At 48.5% G+C, this 27,194-nt stretch overlaps 1 protein-coding gene and 2 long non-coding RNA genes across 13 annotated transcripts in view, besides 11 other annotated features; 1 reads left to right on the forward strand and 2 right to left on the reverse strand.

The window, feature by feature from the left end:
- The window catches only part of ZNF846 (zinc finger protein 846), a 37,542-nt gene extending 28,838 nt beyond the window's left edge, over positions 1 to 8,704 (reverse strand). For 7 of the 11 annotated variants that reach the window (NR_172869.1, NR_172870.1, NM_001395840.1 and 4 more), the window contains exon 1: positions 8,482 to 8,704. The gene's annotated coding sequence lies outside the window, so the exon portion shown is untranslated. Of the gene's footprint in view, positions 1 to 8,469 lie in introns of all 11 variants that reach the window. The other 4 variants (NM_001395839.1, NM_001395841.1, NM_001395838.1 and 1 more) reach the window with 1 other exon arrangement.
- Positions 1,846 to 2,021: a silencer, noted in NCBI's record as "fragment chr19:9889978-9890153 (GRCh37/hg19 assembly coordinates)". NCBI's record gives its function as "represses an EF-1alpha promoter that drives an FKBP-Casp9 reporter gene in an ReSE screen in K562 erythroleukemia cells {active_cell/tissue: K562}" and the evidence as "EXISTENCE:reporter gene assay evidence [ECO:0000049][PMID:32094911]".
- Positions 6,689 to 7,520: an enhancer, noted in NCBI's record as "H3K27ac hESC enhancer chr19:9894821-9895652 (GRCh37/hg19 assembly coordinates)". NCBI's record gives its function as "activates a minimal SCP1, AML or CMV promoter by ChIP-STARR-seq in naive H9 embryonic stem cells {active_cell/tissue: H9 hESC(naive)}" and the evidence as "EXISTENCE:reporter gene assay evidence [ECO:0000049][PMID:30033119]".
- Positions 7,521 to 8,352: an enhancer, noted in NCBI's record as "H3K27ac hESC enhancer chr19:9895653-9896484 (GRCh37/hg19 assembly coordinates)". NCBI's record gives its function as "activates a minimal SCP1, AML or CMV promoter by ChIP-STARR-seq in naive H9 embryonic stem cells {active_cell/tissue: H9 hESC(naive)}" and the evidence as "EXISTENCE:reporter gene assay evidence [ECO:0000049][PMID:30033119]".
- Positions 7,521 to 8,405: a biological region, named in NCBI's record as "H3K27ac hESC enhancer GRCh37_chr19:9895653-9896484".
- Positions 8,176 to 8,405: a silencer, noted in NCBI's record as "silent region_10040". NCBI's record gives its function as "represses an Ori minimal core promoter by ATAC-STARR-seq in GM12878 lymphoblastoid cells {active_cell/tissue: GM12878}" and the evidence as "EXISTENCE:reporter gene assay evidence [ECO:0000049][PMID:35858748]".
- A 1,245-nt stretch (positions 8,705 to 9,949) lies between the features above and the next one.
- On the reverse strand, positions 9,950 to 15,724 carry LOC100505555 (uncharacterized). The gene is made up of 2 exons (NR_148545.1): positions 15,478 to 15,724; positions 9,950 to 10,354 (listed from the first exon to the last, which is right to left on the reverse strand). It is a non-coding gene; the product is annotated as an uncharacterized LOC100505555 (long non-coding RNA).
- Positions 14,373 to 14,742: a silencer, noted in NCBI's record as "silent region_10041". NCBI's record gives its function as "represses an Ori minimal core promoter by ATAC-STARR-seq in GM12878 lymphoblastoid cells {active_cell/tissue: GM12878}" and the evidence as "EXISTENCE:reporter gene assay evidence [ECO:0000049][PMID:35858748]".
- Positions 15,083 to 15,232: a silencer, noted in NCBI's record as "silent region_10042". NCBI's record gives its function as "represses an Ori minimal core promoter by ATAC-STARR-seq in GM12878 lymphoblastoid cells {active_cell/tissue: GM12878}" and the evidence as "EXISTENCE:reporter gene assay evidence [ECO:0000049][PMID:35858748]".
- Positions 15,083 to 15,616: a biological region, named in NCBI's record as "H3K27ac hESC enhancer GRCh37_chr19:9903248-9903748".
- Positions 15,116 to 15,616: an enhancer, noted in NCBI's record as "H3K27ac hESC enhancer chr19:9903248-9903748 (GRCh37/hg19 assembly coordinates)". NCBI's record gives its function as "activates a minimal SCP1, AML or CMV promoter by ChIP-STARR-seq in primed H9 embryonic stem cells {active_cell/tissue: H9 hESC(primed)}" and the evidence as "EXISTENCE:reporter gene assay evidence [ECO:0000049][PMID:30033119]".
- LOC124904635 (uncharacterized) lies at positions 15,606 to 24,960 on the forward strand. The gene is made up of 3 exons (XR_007067134.1): positions 15,606 to 15,697; positions 15,936 to 16,192; positions 24,466 to 24,960. It is a non-coding gene; the product is annotated as an uncharacterized LOC124904635 (long non-coding RNA).
- Positions 15,617 to 16,117: an enhancer, noted in NCBI's record as "H3K27ac hESC enhancer chr19:9903749-9904249 (GRCh37/hg19 assembly coordinates)". NCBI's record gives its function as "activates a minimal SCP1, AML or CMV promoter by ChIP-STARR-seq in primed H9 embryonic stem cells {active_cell/tissue: H9 hESC(primed)}" and the evidence as "EXISTENCE:reporter gene assay evidence [ECO:0000049][PMID:30033119]".
- Positions 18,817 to 19,006: a silencer, noted in NCBI's record as "silent region_10043". NCBI's record gives its function as "represses an Ori minimal core promoter by ATAC-STARR-seq in GM12878 lymphoblastoid cells {active_cell/tissue: GM12878}" and the evidence as "EXISTENCE:reporter gene assay evidence [ECO:0000049][PMID:35858748]".
- Positions 24,961 to 27,194: the final 2,234 nt, after the last annotated feature.

The following is a 27,194-nucleotide window of genomic DNA, read 5'->3' on the forward strand; positions in this document are numbered from 1 at the left end:
GGTCAGGAGATCGAGACCATCCTGGCCAACCTGGTGAAATCCCGTCTCTACTAAAAATACAAAAATTAGCTGGGCGTGGTGGCATGTGCCTGTAATCCCAGCTACTTGGGAGGCTGAGGCAGGAGAATCCCTTGAACCAGGGAGTCGGAGGTTGCAGTGAGCCCAGATCGTGCCACTGCATTCCAGCCTGGCAACAAAGTGAGACTCTGTCCAAAAAAAAAAATTTAAACAATTGGATGTGGAAAAACTTGAGTTTGGGGCCAGGTGCGATGGTTCATACCTGTCATTTTAGCACTTTGGGAGGCCAAGGTGGGTGGATCACCTGAGGTCAGGAGTCTGAGACCAAGCTAGCTAACATGGCAAAACCCCATCTCTACTAAAAAATACAAAAAAAAAGCCAGACTAAAACTTGAGTTTGACACTGGCAGCTATTGTGAGTAACGGTGCTATGAACACTGGTGTACAAACCAAAACAATACAGAAAAAACCCAGCAAACACTGGACAAAGGAGAGAATCAGCTTTCCAGAGTTACAGTATTATCAGATTCAAATGTCCAGTTTTTAACAAAAATCTCAAGGCACACAAACAGGAAAGTATGGCCCATTCAAAGAAAAAATAAATAAATATAAATTTTCCCTGGAAGAGACCTAATGGTATATCTACTAGACAAGGACTTTAAAACAACTGCCTTAAAGATGTTCAAAGAACTAAAGGAAGACATGGAAAAACTCAAGAAAATGATGTATGAACAGAATATAAATAACAATCAAGAGATAGAAAACCTAAAAAGAAACCAAGAAGAAATTCTGGAGCTAAAAAATACAATAATTAAAATGAAAAATTCACTACAGGGATTCAAAGGAGATTTCAGCTGTTGCATCCCAGACCTCTCCATGGATGATGTCAAAGGCATCCCCAGTAGTGACAACCAAAAATGTCTCCAGACATTGCTAACTGTCCCCCAGGAGTAAAATCATCCCCATTGGAAATCACTGCTCTAGACCTACCTCCCAATTTACAGAAAATGCAGGTGACAGAAAAACAAGCTAAAAGAAACCATGAGGGGGCCGGGCACTGTGGCTCAGGCCTATAATCCCAGCACTTTGGGAGGCCAAGGCGGATGGATCACCTGAGGTCAGGAGTTTGAGACCAGCCTGGCTAACATGGTGAAACCCTGTTTCTACTAAAAATACAAAACAGCCAGGTGAGGTGGCATGTGCCTGTAATCCCAGCTACTGAGGAGGCTGAGACGGGAGAATTGCTTGAACCCAGGAGGCAGAGGTTGCAGTGAGCTGAGATCATGCCATTGCAGTGCAGCTTGGGCAACAAGAGCGAAAACTCGTCTCAAAAAAAAAAAAAAAAAAAAAAAAGACGCAAGGTCTCGCTATGTTGCCCAGGCTGGATTCCAACTCCTGGGCTCAATCCATCCTCCCAACTCAGCCTCCCCAGTAGCTGGGACTACAGGTGTTAGCCACCATGCCCTATCTTCAAAGTTTAATACTATGCTAGTATATAAGAAAACTGATACTTTATAACCCAATGTTGAAACAATATTCCTCTGGAATCAGACTGCCTGAGATTGAATCTAGGCTTAAACTCTCTGTGCATAATATTTTTCATTTGTAAAATGAGGGTTAGATTAATATCCACTTTCTAGCTCTGAGGGTAAATAGTTGAATAGAATGCTCATGTGAGACGATTTAACTCTGACATTTCAGCCAACTGTAGCTTCGGGGTGTCACCTTGAAAAGAGGTTGGTTCCTTTGGAAGAAATGTTACTTCCAGAAGTTAGAATAAAAGGAATTTATTTATTTATTTATTTATTTTTGAGACTGAGTTTCACTCTTGTTGCCCAGGCTGGAGTGTAATAACACGATCATGGCTTACCGCAACCTCCGCCTCCCGGGTTCAAGCGATTCTCCTGCCTCAGCCTCCCAAGTAGCTGGGATTACAGGCATGCGCCACCACGCCTGGCTAATTTTATATTTTTAGTAGAGACAGGGTTTCTCCATGTTGGTCAGGCTGGTCTCAAACTCCCGACCTCAGGTGATCTGTCTGCCTCAGCTTCCCAAAGTGCTGGGATTACAGGCATGAGCCACTGCACCCCACCAGAATTTTTTTTTTTTTTTTGAGGCCAAGTTTCACTCTTGTTGCCCAGGCTAGAGTGTAATGGCGTGATCTCAGCTCACTGCAGCTTCTGCCTCCCAGGTTCAAGGAATTCTCCTGCCTCAGCCTCCCAAGCAGCTGGGATTACAGGTGCCCACCACCACACCCAGCTAATTTTTTGTATTGTTAGTAGAGACGAGGTTTCACCATGTTGGCCAGGCTGGTCTCGAACTCCTGACCTTCAGGTGATCCACCCACCTCCAACTCCCAAAGTGCTAGGATTACAAGCATGAGTCACCACGCCCGGCCATCACGACTTTTTTTTTTTTTTAGATAGGCTGTCACTCCTGTCACTCAGGCTGGAGTGTAGTACAGTGATCTTCACTCACTGCAGCCTTGACCTCCTGGTCTCAAGAGATCCTCCCACCTCAGCCTCTCAAGTAGCTAGGACTACAAATGCATGCCACCATGCCCAGCTAATTTTGTTTTTTTTTTTGTTTTTTTTTTTGTAGAGATGAGGTCTCACTATATTGCCCAGCCTGGTCTCAAACTCCTGGGCTCAAGCAATCCCCCTACCTCAGCCTCTTAAGTGCTGGAATTATAGGCATGAGCCACTGCACCTGGCCACTCTTTTTTTCTTTCTGTTTAAAGACAGGGTCTTGCTATATAGCCCAGGCTGGAGTGGAGTGGTCATTCACAGGCATGATCATGTACACTGCAGCTTACAACTCCCAGGCTCAAGTGATCCTCCCGCCCCAGCCTCCCCAATAACTAGGACTACAGGCATGTGCCACCACACCCAGCAAGTTTCCCTTAGTTCTCTGAAATGTTTTAAGACTCCACTCAAATCTTCTTAAACAGTCTTAAATTTTCATCATGATATTACCTAGTGATTTTTTTTTTTAAGATGGAGCCTTGCTCTATCACCCAGGATGGAGTGCAGTGGTGTGATCTCAGCTCACTGCAACCTCTGCCTCCCAGGTTCAAGCGATTCTCCTGCCTCAGTCTCCCGAGTAGCTGGGACTACAGGTGTGCACCATCATGCCCGGCTAATTTTTGTATTTTAGTAGAGGTAGGGTTTCACCATGTTGGCTAGGCTGGTCTTGAACTCCTGACCTCAAGTGATCCACCTGCCTCAGCCTCCCAAAATGCTGGGATTACAGGTGTGAGCCACTGCACTCAGCCTGACCTAGTGATGTTTTACTCCCAGTTCTAATGTTCCACAGTTAGAGACTCCAGACATACCAAAATCAGTTAACTTTCATGAATTCACCATGGCCCTTATGCAGTAGTTTTCAACAGTGGCTGCACATTAGATTCACTGGAGGACTTTTAAAAACACTGATACCCATGACACATCCCCATAAATGCTGTTTTAATTGGTCTGAGGTAGGACTCAGCCCTTAGTACATTTCTCAAGTTTCCAGGACATTCTATAAGGATTAGGTTGAGAATTACTGACTTGGCTTCTGCATTCATATGCTCTTCTTGTCCACTTGATATAGTCCTACACATCTTTCAGAACTTAAGTCAACCTTGCCTCCTCTGGAGAAAATATCCTGTTAGGTGTTTTTTTGTTTGTTTGTTTGTTTTGAGATGGAATCTCCCTCTGTAGCCCAGTGGCGGATCTTGGCTCACTGCAACCTCTGCCTCCCAGGTCCAAGCGAATTCTCCTGCCCCAGCCTCCTGAGTAGCTGGAATTACAGGCATGCACCACCACGCCCTGTAATTTTTGTATTTTTAGGAGAGATGGGGTTTCACCATGTTGGCCAGGCTGGTCTTGAACTCCTGACCTCAAGTGATCTGCCCACATTGGCCTCCCAAAGTGCTGGATTTACAGGTATGGGCCACCATGTCCCACCCACTGTTAGGTGCACTCTTATCCCTCCCCTCCCAGCACCCCATAGCCCCTTTGAAATTCCTTTATTATAAGTCTTGTCATAACGCTTTATCACTTGCGCTGTTTATCTTTCATGCTGTCTGATGAACTCCAGGAAAGTAGAAACTAATTTTAGTCTAGACACCTGCTTGTGGAAGTTAGGCAAACAGTCTTCTGAAAGACTGTCTTGATATAAAATCCCAGATCCCACAAAAAAAAACTTTTTTCTTTACAGCAAAGCAAGTGGAAAAAACAAAAACAAAAACAAAACCCTTTATTTTTTAATTGCTCTATCAATGAAAAAGAAAATAGAGAAATTTCCCAAGGGCAAACAATTTTTTTTTTTTTTTTTTGAGATGGAGTGTCGCTCTTGTTGCCCAGGCTGGAGTGCAATGGTGCGATCTTGACTCACTACAACCTCCGCCTCCGGGTTCAAGGGATTCTCCTGTCTCAGCCTCCCAAGTAGCTGGGATTACAGGTGCACATCACCATGCCCTGCTAATTTTGTATTTTTAGTAGAGATGGGGTTTCACCATGTTGGCCAAGCTGGTCTCGAACTCCTGACTCCAGATGATCCACCCACCTCAGCCTCCCAAAGTGCTGGGATTACATGTGTGAGCCACCGCACCCGGCCTAATAATTTTTTTAAGTTAGCAGAATCCAGAGATAGAAGAACTTTCCCTCAATATTTTTCTTCCCTTCCAGAATACAGAGTGATTGCTGAAAAATAGCTGCCCCACCAGGAATGGCACTAGCCCTTGTGACTAGTTTTTACCACAAAATGTTAAAGGAAAAAAATGTGTCGTGTTAGCCAAAGAGCAATGTGCTTTCTCTTTTTTATTAGACAGGGTCTCAATCTCTCACCCAGGCTAGAGTGCAGTGGTGCTGCACAGCTCACTGCAGCCTCAAACTTCTGGGCTCAAGCAATCCTCCAGCCTCAGCCTCCCACGTAGCTGGAACTTCAGGTGTGCACCACCACACCTAATTTTTAATTTTTTGTTCCAGAGATGGGGTCTTGCTAGGTTGCCCAGGCTTGTCTCCAACTCCTGGTCTCAGGCAGTCCTCCCGACTCAGCCTCCCAAAGCACTGGGATTGCAGGCATGAGTCACCATGCCCAGCCAGCTTTCTCTATTTTTACTTTCCCTTTCCACCTAGATGTACATGGTGTCTCAACATTGAAAGATACTGGGTTTCTGCACCACCAGGGGAAGAAAGCCAACTAAATTTAGATTGTTACATGAGTAGGAAATTAACTGAAACTTTGATATGTGTCTGTTACATTAGGTTACCCATAAATACACAGCTAGATGGAAAAGAAATGTTACTGGGATATAATTTTGGTTAAATAGGACACCATATGCATTTGAAAGGAACAAATGGCTTTCCTCAACTTCCTTTAACTCTCTCAAAATGCACACCTGTGGCTCTTTCTAGATCTTCTACCTCTTCAAGCACTCCATACATAACACTATCTCCCTGTAACTTTTTTTTTTTTAAGAGACAGGGTCTTGCTCTGTCACCCAGGATGGAGTGCAGTAGCATGATCATGGCTCACTGCAGCCTTGACCTCCCAGGCTCAAGCAATCCTCCCACCTCAACCTCCCCAGTAGCAGGGACCATAGATGTATGCCACCATGCCTGGCTGATTTTTAAATTTTTTTGTAAAGATGGGTTTTTACTATCTTGCCCAGGCTGCTCTTGATCACTTGAGCCACCCCTTGGCCTCCCAAAGTGCTGAAATACAGACCTGAGTACCTGGACTTCTCCCTATAATTCTTTTTTTTTTTTTTTTTTTTTTTTTTTTGAGATGGAGTCTAGCTTTCTGTCACCTGGGCTGGAGTGCAGTAGCACGATCTCAGCTCACTGCAACCTCCAACTCCCAAGTTCAAGCGATTCTCCTGCCTCAGCCTCCCTAGTAGCTGGGATTACAGACCCGCATCACCATGCCTAGCTAATTTTGTATTTTTAGTAGAGACAGGGTTTCGCCATGTTGGCCAGGAGTTCAAGGCTGCAGTGTGCTATGATTGCCACTATGAATAGCCACTGCCCTCCAGCCTGGGCAACATAGTGAGAGTCTCATCACTAAAAAAAAAAAAAAAAAAATATATATATATATATATATATTCTTTAAAAGTTTATTTTGTATAAATAATAATGAGACATAATTTCACCAGGCTGGTCTCCAACTCCTGAGCTCAAGTGCTGGGATTACAGGTGTGAGTCACCGTGTCCGGCCAGTTTTGTTTTTGTTTTTTTTTTTAATTTCAGACAGGGTCTTACTCTGTCGCCTGGATGGAGTACAGTGGCACAATCACTGTTCACCACCACCTCAACCTCCCAAGCTCAGGTGATCCTCCCACCTCAGCCCCCCAAGTAGTTGGAACTACAGGCACAGTGCCACTATGCTTGGCTAATTTTTATTTTTATTTATTTTTATTTTTGTAGATACCGGGTTTTGCCATATTGTCCAGACTGGTCTTGAACTTCTGAGCTCAAGCGATCTGCCCGCTTCGGCCTCCCAAAGTGTTGGGACTGCAGGCACTAGCCATCGCGCCTGGCCAGATAATGGTGATTTTTTTTCCTAAAGAAAAAAAGTCCAGGCCCATGTAGATTTTTTTCGTATTGAAGGGGGCCTGCCCCTCCACACCTGTTGGTATTTCTCGCAAGGTGGAGACAAGAGACTGAGAAAAGGAAATAAGACACAAAGTATAGAGGAAGAAAAGTGGGCCCAGGAGACGGGTGCTCAGCAAGTGAGGATCTGCACCGGCACTGGTCTCTGAGTTCCCTCAGTATTTATTGATCACTTTCTCTACTATCTGGGCAAGGGGGATGTGGCAGGACTATAGGGTAATGGTAGGGAGAGGGTCAGCAGGAAAATGTGAGCAAAGGACGCTATGTCACAAATAAGTTTAAGGAACGGTGCTGTGCCTGGATGTGCATGTAGGCCAGATTTATGTTTCACTTTACACAAACATCTCAGTGCAGTATTGCCGCCAGCATGTCTCACCTCCAGCCATAAGGCGGTTTTCTCCTATCTCAGTAAATAGAATGTGCAATCGGGTTTTACACCAAGACATTCCATTCCCAGGGATGAGCAGGAGACAGATGCTTTCCTCTTATCTCAACTGCAAAGAGGCCTTCCTCTTTCACTAATCCTCCTCAGCACAGACCCTTTACGGGTGTCAGGCTGGGGGACAGTAAGGTCTTTCCCTTCCCACAAGGCCATATCTCAGGCTGTCTCAGTGGGGGGAAACCTTGGACAATACCCGGGCTTTCTTGGGCAGAGGTGCCTGCGGCCTTCCACAGTGCACTGTGTCCCTGGGTAACCGAGAATGGAGCATGGCGATGCCTTTTACCAAGCATACTGCCTGCAAACACATTTTTAACAAAGCACATCCTGCACAGCCCTAAATCCATTAAACCTTGAGTCAACACAGCACATGTTTTTGCAAGCACAGGGTTGGGGCTAAGGTTACAGATTAACAGCATCTCAAAGCAGAAGAATTTTTCTAAGTACAGATCAAAATGGAGTTTCTTGTGTCTTCCTTTTTCTACATAGACACAGTAACAGTCTGATCTCTCTTTTCCCCACAAGTAACAGTCTGATCTCTCTTTCTTTTCCCCCGCACATATACTGACCTAACCATAAGAAGTCAGTGAGACTGGGAAATATGCATCATTGATGCAGCCTCACAATACCCCGGCCCCATCTGTTCTCTCACTACTGAGACCCCACCCTGTCTCCCCCTTCACCGAGATTTTTTTTTTTTTTTTTTTTTGAGACGGAGTCTCGCTCTATCACCAGGCTGGAGTGGCCCGATCTCGGCTCACTGCAACTTCCGCCTCCCAGGTTCAAGCGATTCTCCTGCCTCAGCCTCCCCAGTAGCTGGGACTACAGGCGCCTGCCAGCATGCCCAGCTAATTTTTGTATTTTTAGTAGAGATGGGGTTTCACCATGTTGGCCAGTATGGTCTTAATCGATTGCCCTCGTGATCCGCCTGCGTCAGCCTCCCAGTCTGTCCCCTCACCACTACTCTCTTTCACGGAGACCCCACCCCCATCTCTCCCTTCACCGACTCCCCGCCCCCGTCTCTCGCTCACGGAGTCCCCGCCCCTGTCTCAACCAAGACCGAGTCCCCGCCCCCATCTCTCCCTCGCCGAGTCGCCGCCCGCGTCTCTCCCTCACCCAGACCCCGCCCCATCTCTCCCTCACCGAGACCCCGCCCCATCTCCCCCTCACCGAGACTCCGCCCCCGTCTCTCCCTCACCCAGACCCCGCCCCCATCTCCCTCTCACCGAGTCCCCGCCCCCATCTCTCCCTCACCAAGACCTTGCCCCCATCTCCCCCTCACCGAGGCTCCGCCCCCGTCTCACCCTCACCGAGACCCCACCCCCATCTCGCCCTTCACCCAGTCCCCGCTCCCATCTCTCCCTCACCGAGACCCCGCCCCCGTCTGCCTCCCTCCGGGTGGCTAAGCCGCACCTGAAGCCGCACCTGGTCGCAGAGGCTACTGCTGGGGAAACCGTTGGGCCAGCGGCGGCTAAAGGGCAGGAGGCGCCGCTGTGGCCACGCGCACTTCTGATTCCGCTCCAGGGTTTCAGAAGGAACTGAGGGCTCTGGACCCGGCCTCGGAGGCCTGAGGAGTTGGGAGGGGCGGCGGCCGCGTCCTCCGCAACTCTGGGGAGAAGTCTTAGTTTCCGCGCAGCCAAACGCGATTGGACCCCGCCCTCCGGCTTCACTGGGGACCGTGGGGGCGGAACCCGGCGGGAGGACGTATGGGGGGCTGGACCATGATGGAGGGAGTCGGTTGGGCTGGACCTCGAAATGCCTCTGCTCGCTTTCCTCTGCGCTTATGCCGCCATGTACGAGTATGCGCTGTTTCCAGGTGGTTTGTTATACAGCAGTAGATAACTGATACATCCCTTTTCACTAATATTTTTATTTCCTAATACAATTTTTAAATAATTTTTTATTTTATACCAAAAATAATAGTGAAGAGGGTTTTTTTAAGGTCAGGATCTCCCTCTGTTGCCCAGGCTGGAGTGAGTGGCGCAATCATGGCTCCCGCCCCCGTCTGTCCCTCACCGGGTGCCCGCCCCCATGTCCCCCTCACCGAGACCCTCACCACTGCAGCCTCCAACCCCTGGGCTAAAGTGACCCTCCGGCCTCAATTCCTCTAGTAGGTGGGACTACAGGCTCGTGACACCACAGCAGGCTAATTTTTTGTGGAGATAGCGGTTGCACTATATTGCCCAGGTTGGTCTTGAACTCCTGGGCTCAAGGGATTCTCCTACCTCAACCTCCCAGTTTGTAATCAGTCTTCAAAGTGTTGGGATTACAGACGTGAGCCACCGCTCCAGGCCTGGTTTTTCCACATGGATTATGTACATGTGGCTTCTCACCACGTTGAGTCGATGCCTGTCAATTAAGGGATAACTAATCAACTGAAGACTTTGTCACTCTTATTGCACTCATAGGGATTCTCCCCCATGGAAAGTCTGTCTTGACAAGCAAGCAAGTGCATTGCTACATTAGAAGCTGCTGCCATTTAGGTTGGGTGTGGTGGCTCATGCCTATAATCCCAGCACATTTGGAGGCCGAAGTGGGCGGATCAGTTGTGGTCAGGAGTTTGAGACCAGCATGGCCAACATGGTGAAAACTCATCTCTACTAAAAATGCAAAGATTAGCCGGGCGTGGTGGTATATGCCTGTAATCCCAGCTACTTGGGAGGCTGATGTGGGAGAATCGCCTGAACCCGGGAGGAGAAGATTGCAGGAGCCGAGATCATGCCACTGCAACCCAGCCTGGGTGACAGAGCAAGACGCGAGACTCTGTCGCAAAAAAAAAAAAAAAATTGCTGCCATTTTCAGAGCACCTAGACTGCTTCTGCCTTGTCTGAATTCCTTCAAATTGAGTACGATGAATGCTTTGCCATAGGTTCCATTATAGTCATGACATTCATAAGGCTTTTCATACACAGATATTTTATTCTGATAGTCATCTAAACAAAAACTGAATTCTGTGTAAATATTCAACATGCGAGTCTCATTTATGGACGACGTGCCTACTTGTGAGACCTCTCTGTGAGTAAGCATATTTTGAATAGGTTTAGAATGTTCCCCAAGTTCATGAAACTCAGAAACTCTCTCCTGAAGGGTGGCTTCTCTTGGGCATAGACAAGGAGAACCTTGTCTCCAGGTTCTTCCCATTGTGGGGTGGCTCTTCCATCTCATGGCCTCCCTGACTCGTGCTGCGGAGAACCGGCAATCATCCTCCTGCATCTTACTCTCTTCCGGCCAGCAGATTGTTTTCCCCAACTTTATTCCGCTTTGCAGCTATCTTTTTGGTGCTACATGGTCTTCTGGTCTGAAATGAATTGGGAAAAGAAGTAAATCAGGTTTTTGTTTTTGTTTTTGTTTTTTGTTTTTTGTTTTTGAGACAGAGTCTTGCTCTGTCGCCAGGCTGGAGTGCAGTGGCGCGATCTCGGCTCACTGCAACCGACTCCCAGGTTCAAGCAATTCTCCTGCCTCAGCCTCCCAAATAGCTGGGACTACAGGCGCGTGCCACCACGACCAGATAATTTTTTGTATTTTTAGTAGAGACCAGGTTTTACCATGTTGGCCAGCATGTTCTCCATCTCCTGACCTCATGATCCGTCGGCCTCAGCCTCCCAGAGCGCTGGGATTACAGGTGTGAGCCACCTCGCCTGACCATCAGTTTGTTTTTTGTTTGTTTTTTTGAGACAGTGTCTCACTCTGTCACCCAGGCTGGAGTGCAGTGGTGCGATCACAACTCACTACAGCCTCAAACTCCTGGGCTCAAGTTATCGTCCTGCTGCAGCCTCCCAGTGCTGGGAGTACAGGTATGAGTCACTGTGCCAGGCCTTCAAAATTTATGTTTTTGGATAAAAAATGATGACATAATGGTGCTTTGTTTTGTTTTGTTTTTGACACAAGATCTAGCTTTGTCACCCAAGCTGGAGTGCAGTGACGTGATCATGGCTCAATGCAGCTTCGACTTCCTGGGCTCAGAGGATCCTCCCACCTCAGCCCCCCAAGTAGCTGGAACTACAGTTGCACACCACCATGCCCGGCTAATTTTTGTATTTTTGGTAGAGACGGGGTTTCACCATGTTGCCCAGGCTAGTCTGGAACTTCTGAGCTCAAGCGATCCGCCCGCCTCGGCCTCACAAAGTGCTGGGATTACAGGAGTGAGCCACTGCATCCAGCTCGATAATGGTGATTTTTTTTTAAGATTTTTTTTTTTTTTTGAGACAGAGTTTCACTCTTCTTGCCCAGGCTGGAGAGCAATGGTGTGATCTTGGCTCACTGCAACCTCCGCCTCCCATGTTCAAGCGATTTTCCTTCCTCAGCCGCCCGAGAAGCTGGGATTACTGACATGTGTCACCACACTTGGCTAATTTTGTATTTTCAGTAGAGACGGGGTTTCTCCATGTTGGCCAGGCTAGTCTTGAACTCCCACCCTCAGGTGATCCGCCCACCTCGGCCTCCCAAAGTGCTGGTATTACAGGCATGAGCCACCGCACCCAGCTAAGAATTTTTGTTTTTTTAAGAATAAGAAAAAAGACTCCGTCTGAAAAAAAAAAAAGGAAAGAAAAAAATAAAGTCCAGGCCCATGTAGATTTTTTCATATACTGACCTAAACATAAGAAGTCAGTGAGACTGGGAAATATGCATCATTGCAATATGCAGCCTCACAATATCTGGCCCTCATCTCTCCCTCACTGAGACCCCGCCCCCGTCTCTCACCTCATCGAGAACCCGCGCTCATCCTTCTCTGAGAACCCGCCCCCATCTCTCCATCACCAAGACCCTGCCTCCGTCTGTCCCCTCGATGACTCTGCTCTGCCCACCCCTCACCGAGATCTAACCTCTGTCTGTCCCCTCACCGAGTGAAGGGGGCCTCCCCCTCCACACCTCTGGGTATTTCTCGTCAGGTGGGATGAGAGGCTGAGAAAAGAAATAAGACACAGAGACAAAGTATGGAGAAAGAACAGTGGGCCCAGGGGACCTGCACCGCTGGCTGTCTCTGAGTTTCCTCGGTATTTACTGATCATTATTTTTACTATCTTAGTGAGGGGAGTGTAGCAGGGCAACAGGTGGGGAGAAGGTCAGCAGGGAAACATGTGAGCAAAGGAATCTGTATCACGAATAAGTTCAAGGAAAGGTACTGTGCCTGGATGTGCACGTAGGCCTGATTTAAGTTTCACTTTACACAAACATCTCAGTGTAGCAAAGAGTAACAGAGCAGTATTGCTGCCAGCATATCCCGCCTCTAGTCACAGGGCAGTTTTCTCCTATCTCAGAATTGAACGAATGGGAATGGTCAGTTTACACGGAGACATTCCATTCCCAGGAAGGAGCAGGAGAGAGAAGCCTTCCTCTTATCTCAACTGCAAAGAGGCCTCCCTCTTTCACTACTCCTCCTCAGCACAGACCCTTTAGGGGTGTCAGGCTGGGGGATGGTAAGGTCTTTCCTTTCCCATGAGGCCATATCTCAGGCCATCTCAGAGCTTTCTTGGGCAGAGGTCCCTGCGGCTTTCCGCAGTGCATTGTGTCCCTGGTTAATCGAGAATGGAGAATGGCGATGACTTTTACCAAGCATACTGCCTGCAAACATACTGTTAACAAGGCATCCTGCACAGCCCTAAGTCCATTAAACTTTGATTCAATACAGCACATGTTTCTGTGAGCACAGGGTTGGGGCTAAAGTTAAGACTCACAGCATCTCAAAGCAAAACAATGTTTCTTAATACAGATCAAAGTGGAATTTATGTCTTCCTTTTCTACATAGACATAGTAACAATCTGATCTCTCTTTCTTTTCCCCACAACTGAGTCCCGGGCTCCATCTCCTGGTAGAGTCCAGCCCTACAGGGCTTTGCGGGTGTTCTCCCCATGTGTGGAGATGAGAGATCATAAGAAATAAAGACACAAGACAAAGAGATAAAGAGAAGACAGCTGGGCCCTGAGGACCACTGCCACCAAGACGCAGAGACCAGTAGTGGCCCCAAATGGCGGATGCACTGATATTTATTGTATATAAGACAAGGGGGCAGGGTAAGGAGGGTGAGTCATCCAAGTGATTGATAAGGTCAAGCAAGTCACGTGATCATAGGACAGGGGGCCCTTCCCTTATAGGTAGCTGAAGAAGAGAGGGAAGACAGCATACATCAGCATTTTCTTTTTTTTTTTTTTTTTTTCCCCCGAGACAGAGTCTCACTCTGTCACCAGGCTGTAGTGCAATGGCCCGATCTCAGCTCACTGCAACCTCCGCCCTCCGAGTTCAAGCGATTCTCCTGCCTCAGCCTCCCAAGTAGCTGGGATTACAGGCGCCTGCCACTGCACCCAGCTAATTTTTTGTATTTTTAGTGGAGATGGGGTTTCACCTTCTTGGCCAGGCTGGTCTTGAAGTCCTGACCTCGTGATCCACCCGCCTCGGCCTCCCAAAGTGCTGGGATTACAGGCATGAGCCACTGCGCCCGGCCCAGTGTTTTCTTTTACGCACTTATCAGAAAGATAAAAGACTTTAAGACTTTCACTATTTCTTCTACCACTATCTTCTAAGAAATTCAAAGAGGAACCAGGAGTACCGGAGGAATATGAAAGTGGACAAGAAAAGTGACCACTGAAGCACAGCACCACAGGGAGGGGTTTATGCCTCCGGATGGCTGCGGGCAGGCCTGGATAATATCCAACCTCCCACAAGAAGCTGGTGGAGCAGAGTGTTCCCTGACTCCTCCAAGGAAAGGGAGACTCCCTTTCATGGTCTGCTAAGTAACGGGTGCCTTCCCAGGCACTGGCATTACCGCTTGACCAAGGAGCCCTCAAGCGGCCCTTATGCGGGCCTGACAGAGGGCTCACCTCTTGCTTTCTTGGTCACTTCTCACAATGTCCCTTCAGCACCTGATCCTACACCCGCCCGTTATTCCTTGGTTATGTTAGTAATACAACAAAGAGTAATATTAAAAGCTAATGATTAATAATGTTCATACTAATGATTGATAATGTCCATGATCATCTCTATATCTAATTTATAACTATTCTTATTCTAACTGTTTTCTTTATTATACTGAAACAGTTTGTGCCTTCAGTCTCTTGCCTGGGCACCTGGGTAATCCTCCGCCCACAGACTCCCGCATCACTGAGTCCCGGTCCTCCTATCCTACACGGAGTCTCTACCTTCATCTCCACACTCAGGGAGACTCCACCTCGGTCTCCGCCTTCACTGAATCCCCGCCCCCATTGCGCCTTCACTGAGACACCAGCCCCATCTACGCTCACAGAGACCTTACCCCGTCTCCCCGTCACCGAGACCGCTCCCCCATCTCGCCCTCACCAAGTCCCCGCCCCCGCCTCGCCCTCACCGAGTCCCCATCCCTGTCTCTCCCCCACTGAGACCCCGCCCCCGTCTCGCCCTCATCGAGTCTCCGCCCCCGTCCTCCGTCATCGAGTCTCCGCCCCGCCTCGCCCTCACCGAGTCCCCGCCCCCGCCTCCCCCTCACTGAGTCCCCATCCCTGCCTCTCCCTTACTGAGACCCCGCCCTCGTCTCTCCCCTCACGGAGACCCCGCCCCCGACTCCCCCTCATCGAGTACCCGCCCCGTCTATCCTTCATCAAGTCTCCACCCCCGCCTCTCCCTCACCGAGTCCCCGCCCCCGCCTCCCCCTCACCGAGTTCCCATCCCTGTCTCTCCCCTCACCGAGACCCCGCCCCCGCCTCTCCCTCATCGAGTCCCCGCCACCGTCTCTCCTTCATCGAGTCCCCTACCCTTCCCGTCATCGAGTCCCCGGCCCCGTCTCCCCCTCATCGAGTCCCCGCCCTCTTCTCTCCCTTCACTGAGATCCCGCCCTCTTCTCTCCCCTCACTGAGGTCCCGCCTCTGACAGCCCCTCACCGAGTCCCCGCCCCCCGTCTCTCCCTCACCGAGTTCTCGTCCCAGTCTCCCCATCACCTAATCCCCACCCCTGTCTCTCCCTTACGAAGTCCCCGGCCCCCGGTTCCCCTCACCGAGACCCTGCCCTGTCTGTCATCGAGTCCCTGTCTCCCCCTCACCTAGTCCCTCTTCTCTCCCCTCACCGAGTCCCCGCCCCCGTCGTCCGCTCACCAAGTCCCCGCCCCCGTCTCCCCCTCACCGAGTCCCGCCCTCTTCTCTTCCCTCACCGAGTCCCCGCCCCCGTCGTCCCCTCACCGATTCCCGCCCCCGTCTCCCCGTCACCGAGTCCCCGCCCCCGTCTCTCCCCTCACCGATTCCCCGCCTCCGTCTCCCCTCACCGATTCCCGCCCCTGTCTCTCCCTCACCGAGTCCCCGCCCCCGTCAATCCTCTCACCGAGTCCCCGCCTCCGTCTCCCCTCACCAAGTCTCCGCCCCCGTCTCTCGGTCACCAAGACCCCACCCCCGTCTCCCCCTCACCGAGTCCCTGCCCGGGTCTTCCTGCCTCCACGTGGCGAAGCCGCACCTGAAGCCCCACCTGGTCGCAAAGGCTGGTGCAGGGGAAACCGTTGGTTCAGCTGCGGTTCCTGGGAAGGGGGTGCCGCTCTGATCACGCGCACTTCTGATTCCCCTCTCGGGGCTCGGAAGCGGCTGAGGGCTCTGGACCCGGTCTCCGAGGCGTGAGGCGGTGGGAGGGTCGGCGGCCGCGTCCTCCACGACCCTGGGGAGAAGTCCCAGTTTCCGCGCAGCCGACAACGGTTGGACCCCGTCCCTCCGGCTTCACTGGGCACCGTGGGGGCAGAACCCGGCGGCGGCTTGGGGTGGGGGCGGGACCACGATGGAGGGAGTCTGTTGGGCGGGACCTCGAAATGCCTCTGCTCGCTTTCCTCTGCATTCATGCGGCTTGTACGAGGATGCGCTGTTTCCTGGTGGTTTGTTATACGGCAGTAGATAACTGATACATCTCTCTTCACTACTTTGTTTGCGTTTTTATAGGTCAGGGTCTTCCTCTGTCGCACAGGCTGGAGTGCAGTGGCTCGATCACGGCTCACGGAAACCTCCAATCCCTGGGCTCAAGCGATCTTCCCTCAAATTCAACAGTAGCTGGAACTACAGGCTCGTGACACCACAGCAGGCTAATTTTTAAATTTTTCGTGGAGATGGGAGGTCACACTATATTGCCCAGGCTGGTCGCGAACTCCTGAGCTCAAGCGATCTTCCCTCTTTGGCGTCCCAAAGAGCTGAGATTGCAGGTATGAACCACCGCACCGGGCCCATTCTCAACATCTCTCAACAAACTGATAAAGAGCATGTAAAAAAATCTACAGCTAACATTGTAGTGAAATACTGAAAACTGTTCTAAGCTCAGGAGTACAGCAACGATGCCCACTCTCACGAATTCTATCAAGCATTGTAGTTACGGCCACGCGCGGCTCACGCCTGAGATCCTAACACTTTGGAAGGAAGATCGCTTTGAGTTCAGGAGTTTGAGACCAGCCTGGGCAAGATGGCAAAACCCTGTCTCAATTTTAAAAAATACAAAAATTAGCCAGGCATGGTGATGCATGTCTATAGTCCCAGCTACTTCGGAGACTGACACAGGAGGATCACTTGAGCCCGGAGGCAGAGGTTGTAGTGAGCTGAGATGGCAACATTGCACTCCAGCTGGGGCGACAGAGGAAGGCCCTGTCTGAAAAAGAAATTGGAAGAAACATTATCTACATTTCTTTTCTGCCATTATTTACAGACAACATAATTGTCTAAGTGGGAGATCCAAAAGAATCTAAATTGTTACACATAATGTGCGGGTTAGCAAGAATAGTGGCTAAAAACTCAATATGCAAAGATAATTGTCTTGTCTCTCTCTTTTTTTTTTTTTTTTTTTTTTTTTGACGGAGTCTTGCTCTGTCGCCCAGGCTGGAATGCAGTGGCTTGATCTTGGCTTGCTGCAACCTCCACCTCCCTGGTTCAAGCGATTCTCCTGCCTCAGGCCCCTGAGTAGCTGGGATTACAGGCGCATGCCACCACGCCCAGCTAATTTTTGTATGTTTTTAGTAGAGACGGGGCTTCGCCACGTTGGCAAGGCCGGTCTGGAACTCCTGACCTCAGGTATTCCGCTGGCCTCGGCATCCCAAAGTGCTGGGATTACAGGCGTGAGGCACCGCACCCGGCCGACTTGTCTCTTTTAACAGCAATATTACAACAGCAATAAAATAAGTAGAAATAAATACAACAAAAAAGTATGCAATATCTCTTCCGAGAAATTTGTAAACTACTATTGAAAGAAATCAAAGATGACCTAGATCAATGGATAGACCTTCCTTGTTGATGGATTAGAAGTTTCAATATAAAGACTTGAATTCTTCTTACTTAATATAGAAAGTTAACAAGTTTTCAGTCAAAATAACATGTTTGATGAGGAACCTGATCTACTTATAATAAAATGTATGTATGTGGAGGTACAAAATACTCCTGAAGAACTGTTGGCACTTACCCTACAGACATTAAGAAATAGAAAGACAGGGTCGGGCACGGTGGCTTACGCCTGTAATCCCAACACTTTGGGAGGCCGAGGCGGGCGGTTCACCAGGTCAGGAGATCGAGACCATCCTGGCTGACACGGTGAAACCCCGTCTCTACTAAAAATACAAAAAATAGCCGGGCGTGGTGGCAGGCACCTGTGGTCCCAGCTACTCAGGAGGCTGAGGCAGGAGAATGGCATGAACCCGGGAGGTGGAGCTTGCAGTGAGCAGAGATCGTGCCACTGCACTCCAGCCTGGGCGACAGAGCGAGACTCCGTCGCAAAAAAAAAGACAGTAATATTGGTGTAGTGGTAAATAAATTAAACCAATAAATAGAATAGAAAGCCCCAAAATACACCCTTATGAATGAGGTGTGTTCTTGGCCATTATGAATAATGCTGCTATAAACGTGGGTGGTCAAATATCTTTTTGAGAGCCTGTTTTCCATTCTTTTAGATATATACCCAGAAGTGGGATTGCTAGACCATGTGATAATACCAATTTTAATTTTTTGAACCACTGCCATACTGGTTTTCATAGCTGCTGCACCGTTTTATAGTCTCACTAACAGTGCACAGGTGGGCCAGGTGTGCTGGTTTTCATGCCTGTAATCCCAGCACTTTGGGAGGCTGAGGTGGATGGATCACCTGAATTCAGGAGGTCAGGACCAGCCTGGCTACATGGTGAAACCCTGTGTCTATTAAAAATACAAAAGAATTAGCTGGGTGTGTTGAGTCCCAGCTACTTGGGAGACTAAGGCAGGAGAATCGCTTGAACCCAGGAGGTGGAGGTTGCAGTGAGCCGAGATCTCGCCAGTGCACTCCAGCCTGGGCAACAGAGCAAGACTCTGTCTCAAAAAAAAAAAAAAAAAAAAAAAAAAAAAGAATTCACAACACAATGACTGTGTTAACAATGTTGTTGAAGTTCATCCTAAGTTTGGTAATTGGGGTGGCCATTTGTGTTAACTAATTGCCTTTATCCAAATGAAAAATAAAAATTCTTATATCCTTTTGGCAAGCAGGCAGTTTTAGCTTATAAGCAGGTGCCTAAGGAAATAGAAGTGTGCTACTGATGCAGGTAAGTGCCATCATTGGGGATTCACCCAGGAAAGAATTCAACTGGTGGTGCTACACAAGGATCTTTCATTCACTCAGAGTTGCTTTTTCCAGAGTACAGCTAAAACCTATGCAGTGTGCCCAGAATCAGCATTTTGTGCTGTTGGCTAGCTATAGTTATACTCACTTTTAATTACATGCAAATTAAGGGGTGTGCCATGCAGAACTTTCTAGAAAGGAGGCTATAACTTCCAGGTGATTGTTGTGGAAGTGAATGGTAACTTTCATGTTGTTGCCATGGTACTTATCAACTGTCATGGCTCTGGTAGGAGTGTCTTACCCTAACAAGCAAGGAGAGCAACTAGAGATGGCTTTTGGTGCCATCTGCTGGTTCCCGGTGGCTTCTTCACTTTATCCTGTTGGGACCAGGAAACAAAGTAAGTCCTACCCAGTCTCCTACCTCACTATGGTCTGAAGGTTGTATGTTGTGTGTGTCCTGCCTCCACACCACCACTCCGCAAAGCCAAATGCTTAAATCCTAACCGCAGAAGTGATGAAATTAGGATATGAGGCCTTAGGGAGGTGATTAGATCATGAGGGCGGGGCCTTCGTTAATGGATTTACTAGCAAGTTTGTCCAAGTCGCCTTATTTTGTTGTTGTTGTCTTGTTTTGTTTTGTTTTAGACTTGTAGCAGCCTGAAGCCATGGTTTTTAGTTTCTGTTTCTAGTGATAAGTGGAAAAGAGGGATGAGGAAGAGGCTTTGCAGGCCCAACCAGAAACAAAAACTAACAACCCATAACTGTATTCTTGAACACCCCTGTATGGGATTGGCCGTGGAGACTTTCTCACCCCTTCTATCATGTGATTATGAGGTATGAGGTAGGAAATGTCTTTGTGTTTAAGGAGGGACTGTTCTGAACGTCCATGCTGATTCCCACTGAAGACGTTAAACTCTAGAGTCTGTGGGAAAAGGAAGAAGCTTAATTGAATGTCTTTCTTTTTTCTTTCTTTTTTTTTTTTTTTTTTTTGAAGCTGAGTCTCACTCTGTTGCCCAGGCTGGAGTGCAGTGGCGCGATCTCGGCTCACTGCAACCTCCACCTCCGGGTTCAAGTGATTCTCCTTCCTCAGCCTCCCGAGTAGCTGGGATTACAGGTGCATGCCACCACACCTGGCTAATTTTTTATTTTTAGTAGAGATGGAGTTTCACCATGTTGGCCAGGCTGGTCTCAAACTCCTGACCTCATGTGATCTGCCCGTCTCAGCCTCCCAAAGTGCTGGGATTACAGGGGTGAGCCACCGCGCACGACCTGAATGTCTTTTTTTTTTTTTTTTTGAGACGGAGTCTCACTCTGTCACCCAGGCTGGAGTGCAGTGGCGCGATATCGGCTCACTGCAACCTCCGCCTCCCAGGTTCAAGCGATTCTCCTGCCTGAGCCTCCCGAGTAGCTGGGACTACATGCACCTGCCACCACGCCCAGCTAATCTTTTGTGTTTTGTTTTTAGTAGAGACGGGGTTTCACTGTGTTAGCCAGGATGGTCTCGATCTGCTCACCTCGTGATCCACCCGCCTCGGTCTCCCAAAGTGCTGGGATTACAGGCGTGAGCCACCGCGCCTAGCTGAATGTCTTTCTTACGAGCCCTGGGTACTGGGCTTGAAACCACCTTTGCAAAAATTATAACTGAGAAACTGATTACAGGGAAAGAGATCTGACCAAACTAACTGCATCTTGCTTCTAACCTCCACACTGTCCTTGTTCATTCCTGGACATAGGCCAAACTAAGTTTGGGATGAACTTAGTTTATAGTTTAACTTTGAAACAAAAACAACAATAATGCTTTCCCAAAACAAACCTCCTTTTCCCTGGAGACTAGACTGCCTTTGCAGGACTAACACATTAGCCACAGATAAGGAATTATGGTTTAGGAGTCATGCAGCTGGTGGGTGCAATATTCTGGACCTCCCCAAATTGCTCCTGGGGATAAAATCACTATCGTAAAACCTAGAATCAGTGCTTGAGATATTTTGCAGACCCTGTGTTTCAGTGCACAAGTTGAGGCCACCTAGATGGATAAACCGGCTCATCTGGTCTTGTGGTTCCCACCCAGGAACTGACTCAGAGCAACAGGACAGGTTCCACTCCCTGTGATTTCATCTCAGACTCAACCAATCAGCACTTCCCACTTTCAGACCCCCTATTATCCTTAAAATTATCTCAAATTATCCTTAAAAACCACGATCTCAGGCCAGGTGCGGTGGATCACGCCTGTAATCCCAGCACATTGGGAGGCCAAGGCAGGTGGATCACCTGAGGTCAGGAGTTCAAGACCAGCCTGGCCAACATGGTGAAACCCCGTCTCTACTAAAAAAAACAAATAGAAAAATTAGCCAGGCGTGGTGGCGGCCACCTGTAATCCCAGCTACTCGGGAGGCTGAGGCAGGAGAATCTCTTAAACCCAGGAGGAAGAGGTTACAGTGAGCTGAGGTGGCGCCATTACACTCTAGCTTGGGTGACAAGAGCGAAACTCTGTCTCAAAACAAACAAACAAACCCCCTGATCCCAGAGTTTTCAGGGAGACTGATCTGAATAATAGTAAAATTTTGGTCTCCTGTACGGCTAGCTGGCTCTGCATGAATGAAACTCTTTCTTTATTGCAATTTCCTGTATTGGTAAATCAGCTCTAGGCAGTTAGGCGGTTACAAGCTTGGTAACTCATGCCTATAATCCCACACTTTGGGAGCCCACGGCAGGAGGATCGATTGAGGCCAGGAGTTAGAGCCAAGCTTGGGCAACATAGTGACATCCCATCTCTACAAAAAGAAAAAAAAATAGCTGACTGTGGTGGTGGGCGCCTGTAGTCCCAGCTACTGAGGAGGCTGAGGTGGAAGAATCACCTGAGTCCAGGAGTTCCATGCTGCGGTGAGCTATGATTGTGCCATTGCACACCAGTCTGGGTGACAGAGTGAGACTGTCTCTAAAAAAAAGGAAAAAAAAAGAAAGAAAATCCATCAGCAGATAGCTCTTGGATCTACCTTCACTTTAGCCTCAGACCATGCCACAACCCCTCTGTTCTCCCCTGCTACCAACTTTCCAAACCACTTTCTTCTCATCGGGATTATTGCCTTAACTTTCCAATTACGCTCCCTGATTCTACCTTTGATTCCCAAGAGTTGTACAAATGACAGACAGATATTCTTAAAATATATATCAGATAATATTGCTCCAGTAGCTCAGACCCTTCTATGACTTTGCATTGCACTCATAGTAAAACCCAAAATGTTTAGTTGTTCTCATGGCCCCATATGATCTGACTGATAATTGACTTCCTTCCTGCTAGTCTCCATCCTACCCAACTCACTTAAACCATTTCAGACACAGGGCTTCTGCTGTTACAGAAGCATTGTCCTGCCTTCCTGCCTCAGGGCCCTTGCACTTGCTGTTCTGTCTTTCCTCAGAAATTGACAGACATCCCCTAAATTCCTTCAGTCATTTCCTGGAGATGAAGTGGAAATACTGTGTGTAGATGACTCTGAGTCCCAGTTTTCTCATCTGTCAAACTGTTGTTCCATCCCCATCCCAGCTTGGAAAAGGCTTTTTTTTTTTTTTTTTTTTTTTTTTGCTGGCCCCTTGCTCTGTTGCCCAGACTGGAGTGCAGTGGCACGATCTCAGATCACTGCAACTTGAACCCTCGTGAGTTCAAGCAATTCTTATGCCTCAGCCACAGGAATAGCTGAGATTACAGGCGAGCACCACCACACCAGCTAATTTTTGTACTTTTTTTTTTTTTGAGATTGAGTTTTGCTCTTGTTGCCCAGGCTGGAGTGCAATGGCACTATCTCGGCTCACTGCAACCTCTGCCTCCTGGGTTCAGGCGATTCTCCTGCCTCAGCCTCCCAAGTAGCTGGGATTACAGGGGCCCACCAACACACCTGGCAAATTTTTTGTATTTTTAGTAGAGATGGGGTTTCTTTTTTTTTTTTTTTTTTTTTTTTTTGAGATGGAGTTTCACTTTGTCGCCCAGGCTGGAGTGCAGTGGCGCGATCTCGGCTCACTGCAAGCTCCGCCTCCCAGGTTCACACCACTCTCCTGCCTCAGCTTCCTGAGTAGCTGGGACTACAGGCGCCCGCCACCACGCCCAGGTAATTTTTTTGTATTTTTAGTACAGACGGGATTTCACTGTGTTAGCCAGGATGGTCTCAATCTCCTGACCTCGTGATCCGAGCACCTTGGCCTCCCAAAGTGCTGGGATTACAGGCGTGAGTCACTGCACCCGGCCAAGATGGGGTTTTATCATGTTGACCAGGCTGGTCTTGAACTCCTGACCTCAGGTGATCCACCTGCCTCAGCCTCCCAAAGTGCTAGGATTATAGGTGTGAGCCACTGTGCCCAGCCAATTTTCGTACTTTTAGTAGAGACGAGGTTTGACCATGTTTGCCAGGCTGGTCTGGAACTCCTGACTTCAGGTTATCCGTCCACCTCAGCCTCCCAAAGTGCTGGGATTACAGGTATGATGAAAATGCTTTTTCAAGTGATAACTTTCCAATAGGGAAGGAAGGTTTAAAGGTAAGTTTCAAAAAGCACCTGCTTGAGATGAAATGTAATACCATAGGTCTCCAGAAGACAACAGCGCATCACTTGGTTTGCCTTATAAATCCTTAATTCTCAAAACACAGGAATTAAGAGAAACAGCGAACATTTGTAGACCTCTTCACCCTTCGTTAGGGGGAAAGTGAAAATAACTATTTGCTGGGCATCTCTTGTTCTTTTCTATTTTTATTATTTTAATTGATGTCCCATTCCAGGATGTTGGGCATCTATTGTTTCATCTGGACACTATTTTATATCTGTGATCTACTTTATTTATTTATTTTCCTTTTTTTTTTTTTAAGAGACGGAGTCTCCCTCTGTTACCCAGGCTGGAGTGCAGTGGTGTGATCTTGATTCACTGCAAACTCCGCCTTCCGAGTTCAAGCAATTCTCCTGCCACAGCCTCCCGACTAGCTGGGATTACAAGCACGCACCACTATGCCCGGATAACTTTTTGTATTTTTAGTAGAAACGAGGTTTCACCGTGTTAGCCAGGCTGGTCTCGAACCCTTGACATCAAGTGATCCGTCCGCCTCGGCCTCCCAAAGTGCTGGGATTACAGGCGTGAGCCACCGTGCCCGGCCTATTCATTTTTCTTTTTTCTATTTCTTTTTTTTTTTATATAGAGAAGGAGTCTCAGTCTGTCACCCAGGCTGGAGTGCAGTGGCGCCATCTCGGCTCACTGCAACCTCCGCCTCCCAGGTTGAAGCGATTCTCCTGCCTCAGCCTCCCGAGTAGCTGGGATTACAGGTGTGCACCACCACGCGCAGCTAATTTTTGTATTTTATTGGGTTTTTGGTTTGTTTTGTTTCGTTTGAGACAGAGTTTTGCTCTTGTCGCCCAGGCTGGAGTGCAATGGCACCATCTCGGCTCACTGCAACCTCCGCCTCCCGGATTCAAGCTATTCTGGTGCCTCAGCCTCCCAAGTAGTTGGGATTACAGGCGCCCGCCACCACGCCCAACTAATTTTTTGTATTTTTAGTATAAGCGGGTTTCACAATATTGTTCAGGCTGGTCTCGAGCTCCTGACCTCAGGTGATCCACCCGCCTCGGCCTCCCAAAGTGCTGGGATTACAGGCTTGAGCCATCGCGCCCGGGCTATTTATTTTTCTTTTTTTAATTTTAATTTTAATGTTTCATAGAGACAGGGTCTCCCCATGTTGCCCAGGCTGGTCTAGAACTCCTGGGCTCAAAGGACCCTGCCTCAACCTCCCAAAGTGCCAGGATTACAGGTGTGAGCGACTGCGTCTGGCCTACATTTGTGATTTAAATCAGCACATTTCTCATCTCTCAGAACTCCTCAATAACCATCGGTTGGAAAAAAGAGCAAAAAACCTAAATGTATTTATATGTAATCTCTAGGAGTTAACCTCACCGAAAGATACAACCGATTTAAGAAGAAAATGTTAAAACTCTCTTCAAGGGCCTATAGAAGAAACGGGATGAATGGAAACGTGATTCACTCTGTGGACTGGCAGATACCTCTGGAAATCTGGTGTTCTATTGTAATAAGTTCTCGGGAAGGTAGAGACTTTTATTTGGGACATAGAGGCTTGGCCAACCAGAATGGAGGACCCACCCAAGTCCCGCCCCCAAGCCTGAGCCCTCTCCTTTGCTCCACCCACTCTGCCTGAAGTCCCCTCAACCCCTCCGACTTCGCAGTCTCCCAGCCCGGCCTTCTGGGGCTGGTCTTCATTGGAAGCCACGCCCCCAGGTCTGTCGGATAAACATTTTACAACCTATTCTCTCTGAAGTCTAGTACCTGGAGGCTTCCTCTGGAAATAAGAACTTGGGTCTCCCGCCTGGCCAACATGACGAAACCCCGTCTCTACTAGAAATACAAAAATTAGCCGGTCGTGGTGGCACACACCTGTAATCCTAGCTACTCAGGAGGCTGCGGCAGGAGAATTGCTGGAACCCGGTAGGCGCAGGTTACAGTGAGCTGAGGTCGTGCCACTGCACTCCAGCCTGGGCGACAGAGCGAGACTGCGTCTCCGAAAAAAAAAAAAAAAAAAATTAGCCGGGCATGGTGGCGGGCGCCTGTAATCCCAGCTATTCTGGTGGCTGAGCCAGGAGAATCGCTTGAACCCGGGAGGTGGAGGTTGCAGTGAGCCGAGATGGTGCCATTGCACTCCAGGCTGGGCAACAAGAGCGAGACTCCATCTCAAAAAAGAAAAAAGAAAAAAAAAAAAAAGAACTTGGGTCTCCACAACCTCAAGCCTCCTCTCAAAAAAAGAAAAAAAGTTTTAATCTCCCTATAAGCTGGAATCCCCACTCCCACCCCACCCCAGCTCCCGGTTTGAGCTGTCCTGCCATTCTGGAACAAATGAATGTATTTCTTTTCCTTTTTTTTTTTTTTTTTTTTTGAGACGGTGTCTCGCTCTGTCACCCAGGCTGGAGTGCAGTGGTGCCATCTCCGCTCACTGCAACCTCCGCCTCCCTGGTTCAAGCGATTCTCCTGCCTCAGCCTCCTGAGTAGCTGGGATAACTGGCGCGTGCCACCACACCCGGCTAATTTTGTATTTTTAGTAGAGACGGGGTTTCACCATCTTGGTTAGGCTGGTCTCGAACTCTGACCTCATGTGATCCGCCCACCTCGGCCTACCAAAGGGCTGGGATTACAGGCGTGAGCCACCGCGCCCGGCCAATATATTTCTTAAATGTATTTGATTGAAGTCTCATGTCTCCCTAAAATGTACAAAACCAACTGCACCCCAGTCACCTTGGGCACATGTTCTCCTGGCCTCCTGAGGGCTGTATCACCGGCCATGGTCACTCATATTTGGCTCAGAATGAATCTCTTAAAATATTTTACAGAGTTTGACGCTTTTCGTCGACATTGCTTAGGCTGGCATCGAATTCCTGGGCTCAAGCTGTAATTGCCGGAGGGTTCTTCCTGCCCACTGCATAAAGAAAGACAATGGCATTGTAGTAAAGGAAGAGTTTAGTGGACATGAGGCTGGCCATGCCACGTGGGAGTCGAAGTTCCTACTCAAATCATCTCAAAGCTCCTAGGTTAGGGGTTTTCCAAAGACAGTTTGGGGGAACGGGTGGGGATGGCAGAGTAACAGGTGCTTGCTGCTGATTGGTTGGGGCAGATGCAATCATAGGGGGGTCGAAGCCTTCCTCCTACAGGCTGAATCGATTTTGGGTGGGGCCATAGGAGCAGGGTTGACGGGTCCATGAGGAGTGTTAGGTGTCAGACATGCAATAAAACCTGAAAGGGTATCTCCAAAGGCCAATCTGGGGTTCTGCAATAGTGGTGTTATTTGCAGGAGTAATTGGGGAAGTTGCATATCTCATAACCTCTGGAATAGTGGCTGACATACATTTCTGCGCCTTTGCAGGAATCAGGCTCCTCTCCTGCTGATGGCTCCCCATTAGTTTTACCAAAGCGATTGAGTTTTAGGCAAAGCTTATTATCACCTAAACTATAGCCTAAATGTTTCTTAAAGTTACCTCAGCCCAATAGCCCAGGAAATATTAAGGGAAAGGGAAGATGGGGGGTGGATTGGCTCAGATCTCTTTCACTGTCATAATTTTCTGATATATATTTTTTTGAGACAGGGTCTCACTCTGTTACCCAGGCTAGAGTGCAGAGGTGCAATCACAGCTCACTGCAGCCTCGACCTCCCCAGGCTCAAATGACCTGCCCATTCTGGAGTTCATTCAGCCTCACAAAATGTTGGAATTACAGGCGTGAGCCACCTCGACTGTCCTGATTATTATTTTTGCAAAGGCAATGGTTGACAAAGAGTCAAACTCTGTAAAATATTTGAAGAGATTTATTCTGAGCCAAATATGAGTGACCATGGCCCACGACACAGCCCTCAGGATGTCCTGAGAACATGTGACAAAAGTGGTTGGGGTGCAGCTTGGTTTTATATATTTTAGGGAGACATGAGACATCAATCAAACACATTTAATAAATACATTGGCTTGGTCCAGAAAAGCAGGACAACTCAAAGCAGGAAGCTTCCACGCTATAGGTAAATTTAAACTTTTTTTTTTTTTTTTTTTTTGAGATGGAGTTTCGCTCTTGTTGCCCAGGCTGGAGTGCAATGGTGTGAACTCGGCTCACCGCAACCTCC

Source organism: Homo sapiens, chromosome 19, assembly GCF_000001405.40.
Source record: "Homo sapiens chromosome 19, GRCh38.p14 Primary Assembly".
Classification (NCBI taxonomy): domain Eukaryota; kingdom Metazoa; phylum Chordata; class Mammalia; order Primates; family Hominidae; genus Homo; species Homo sapiens.